General features: G+C 42.1%; 1 annotated feature.

Annotated features, from left to right (window-relative positions):
• Nucleotides 1,105–1,677: an enhancer, noted in NCBI's record as "NANOG-H3K27ac-H3K4me1 hESC enhancer chr5:147325894-147326466 (GRCh37/hg19 assembly coordinates)". NCBI's record gives its function as "activates a minimal SCP1, AML or CMV promoter by ChIP-STARR-seq in naive H9 embryonic stem cells {active_cell/tissue: H9 hESC(naive)}" and the evidence as "EXISTENCE:reporter gene assay evidence [ECO:0000049][PMID:30033119]".

The raw sequence follows: 3,989 nt of genomic DNA, 5'->3' as shown, positions 1-3,989 counted from the left end.
TATAGATTCAATGCAATTCCTATTAAATTACCAACATCACTTTTCACAAATTAGAAAACAAAATTCTAAAATTCATATGAAGCCAAAAGAGCCCAGTCAGAGCAATCTTGAGTAAAAAGAATAAAACTGGAGGCATCACATTACCTGACTTCAAACTATACTACAAGGCTACAGTAGTCAAAATAGTATGGTACTGGTACAAAAATAGACCAGTGGAACAAAATAGATAGCACAGAAATAAAGCCATAAATCTAAAACCATCTGACCTGACAAAGCTGACAAAAAGAAACAATTGGGAAAGAATTTTCTATTTAATAAATGGTGCTAGGATAACTGGCTAACCCTATGCAAATGAACGAAACTGGAACCCTGCCTTTCACCATATACAAAAATTAACTGAAGATGGATTTTAAACTTAAATATAATGCCTCAACCAATAAAAATCCTAGAAGAAAACCTAGGAAACACTTTTTTGGACACTGGTCTAAGCAAAGAATTTATGACTAAGCCCTCACAAGCAAATGCAACAAAAACAGAAAGTGACAATGGAGACCTAATTGAAATAACCAGCTTCTGCACAGCAAAGGAAACTACCAAAAGAGTAAACAGACAACCTTCAGAATAAGGGAAAACTTTTGCAAACTATGCATCCAACAAAAGTCTAAGATCCAGAATCTATGAGGAACTTAAGCACATATACAAGCAAAAAAAACCCCATTGAAAAGTGTACAAAGGACATGAAAAGACACTTCTCAAAAGAAGACACATAAAACAATTCCAATATTATTAATCAACAGGGAAATACACACCAAAACCACCATGAGATATCATCTTACCCAGTGAGAATGGCTGTTATTAAAAAGACAAAAAATAGGGAGCCAAGATGGCCGAATAGGAACAGCTCCGGTCTACAGCTCCCAGCATGACTGACACAGAAGACGGGTGATTTCTGCATTTCCATGTTAGATACCGGGTTCATCTCACTAGGGAGTGCCAGACAGCGGGCGCAGGCCAGTGGGTGTGCACACCGTGCGCGAGCCGAAGCAGGGTGAGGCATTGCCTCACTTGGGAAGCGCAAGGGGTCAGGGAGTTCCCTTTCAGAGTCAAAGAAAGGGGTGATGGATGGCACCTGGAAAATCGGGTCACTCCCACACGAATACTGCTCTTTTCCGTCGGGCTTAAAAAACGGCGCACTACGAGATTATGTCCCACACCTGGTTCGGAGGGTCTTACGCCCACGGAGTCTCGCTGATTGCTAGCACAGCAGTCTGAGATCAAACTGCAAGGCGGCAGCGAGGCTGGGGGAGGGGCGCCCTCCATTGCCCAGGCTTGCTTAGGTAAACAAAGCAGCCTCGAAGCTCCAACTGGGTGGAGCCCACCACAGCTCAAGGAGGCCTGCCTGCCTCTGTAGGCTCCACCTCTTGGGGCAGGGCACAGACAAACAAAAAGACAGCAGTAACCTCTGCAGACTTAAATGTCCCTATCTGACAGCTTTGAAGAGAGCAGTGGTTCTCCCAGTACGCAGCTGGAGATCTGAGAAGGGGCAGACTGCCTCCTCAAGTGGGTGCCTGACCCCTGACCCCCGAGCAGCCTAACTGGGAGGCACCCCCCAGCAGGGACACACTGATACCTCACACGGCAGGGTATTCCAACAGACCTGCAGCTGAGGGTCCTGTCTGTTACAAGGAAAACTAACAAACAGAAAGGACATCCACACCAAAAACCCATCTGTACATCACCATCATCAAAGACCAAAAGTAGATAAAACCACAAAGATGGGGAAAAAACAGAACAGAAAAACTGGAAACTCTAAAAAGCAGAGCACCTGTCCTCCTCCAAAGGAACACAGTTCCTCACCAGCAACGGAACAAAGCTGGACGGAGAATGACTTTGACGAGCTGAGAGAAGAAGGCTTCAGACGATCAAATTACTCTGAGCTACGGGAGGATATTCAAACCAAAGGCAAAGAAGTTGAAAACTTTGAAAAAAATTTAGAAGAATGTATAACTAGAATAACCAATACAGAGAAGTGCTTAAAGGAGCTGATGGAGCTGAAAACCAAGGCTCGAGAACTACGTGAAGAATGCAGAAGCCTCAGGAGCCAATGCCATCAACTGGAAGAAAGGGTATCAGCGATGGAAGATGAAATGAATGAAATGAAGTGAGAAGGGAAGTTTAGAGAAAAAAGAATAAAAAGAAATGAGCAAAGCCTCCAAGAAATATGGGACTATGTGAAAAGACCAAATCTACGTCTGATTGGTGTACCTGAAAGTGATGGGGAGAATGGAACCAAGTTGGAAAACACTCTGCAGGATATTATCCAGGAGAACTTCCCCAATCTAGCAAGGCAGGCCAACATTCAGATTCAGGAAATACAGAGAATGCCACAAAGATACTCCTCGAGAAGAGCAACTCCAAGACACATAATTGTCAGATTCACCAAAGTTGAAATGAAGGAAAAAATGTTAAGGGCAGCCAGAGAGAAAGGTCAGGTTACCCTCAAAGGGAAGCCCATCAGACTAACAGCAGATCTCTCGGAAGAAACCCTACAAGCCAGAAGAGAGTGGGGGCCAGTATTCAACATTCTTAAAGACAAGAATTTTCAACCCAGAATTTCATATCCAGCCAAACTAAGCTTCATAAGTGAAAGAGAAATAAAATACTTTACAGACAAGCAAATTCTGAGAGATTTTGTCACCACCAGGCCTGCGCTAAAAGAGCTCCTGAAGGAAGCGCTAAACATGGAAAGGAACAACCGGTACCAGCCGCTGCAAAATCATGCCAAAATGTAAAGACCATTGAGACTAGGAAGAAACTGCATCAACTAACGAGCAAAATCACCAGCTAACATCATCATGACAGGATCAAATTCACACATAACAATGTTAACTTTAAATGTAAATGGACTAAATGTTCCAATTAAAAGACACAGACTGGCAAATTGGATAAAGAGTCAAGACCCATCAGTGTGCTGTATTCAGGAAACCCATCTCACGTGCAGAGACACACATAGGCTCAAAATAAAAGGATGGAGGAAGATCTACCAAGCAAATGGAAAACAAAAAAAGGCAGGGGTTGCAATCCTAGTCTCTGATAAAACAGACTTTAAACCAACAAAGATCAAAAGAGACAAAGAAGGCCATTACATAATGGTAAAGGGATCAATTCAACAAGAAGAGCTAACTATCCTAAATATATATGCACCCAACACAGGAGCACCCAGATTCATAAAGCAAGTCCTGAGTGACCTACAAAGAGACTTAGACTCCCACACATTAATAGTGGGAGAATTTAACACCCCACTGTCAACATTAGACAGATCAACGAGACAGAAAGTCAACAAGGATACCAAGGAATTGAACTCAGCTCTGCACCAAGCAGACCTAATAGACATCTACAGAACTCTCCACCCCAAATCAACAGAATATACATTTTTTTCAGCACCACACCACACCTATTCCAAAATTGACCACATACTTGGAAGTAAAGCTCTCCTCAGCAAATGTAAAAGAACACAAATTATAACAAACTATCTCTCAGACCACAGTGAAATCAAACTAGAACTCAGGATTAAGAATCTCACTCAAAACTGCTCAACAACATGGAAACTGAACAACCTGCTCCTGAGTGACTACTGGGTACTTAACGAAATGAAGGCAGAAATAAAGATGTTCTTTGAAACCAACGAGAACAAAGACACAACATACCAGAATCTCTGGGACACATTCAAAGCGGTGTGTAGAGGGAAATTTATAGCACTAAATGCCCACAAGAGAAAGCAGGAAAGATCCAAAATTGACACCCTAACATCACAATTAAAAGAACTAGAAAAGCAAGAGCAAACACATTCAAAAGCTAGCAGAAGGCAAGAAATAACTAAAATCAGAGCAGAACTGAAGGAAATAGAGACATAAAAAACCCTTCAAAAAATTAATGAATCCAGGAGCTGGTTTTTTGAAAGGATCAACAAAATTGATAGACCGCTAGCA

Source organism: Homo sapiens, chromosome 5, assembly GCF_000001405.40.
Source record: "Homo sapiens chromosome 5, GRCh38.p14 Primary Assembly".
NCBI lineage: Eukaryota > Metazoa > Chordata > Mammalia > Primates > Hominidae > Homo > Homo sapiens.
This window is presented reverse-complemented; position numbering and strand designations above follow the sequence as displayed.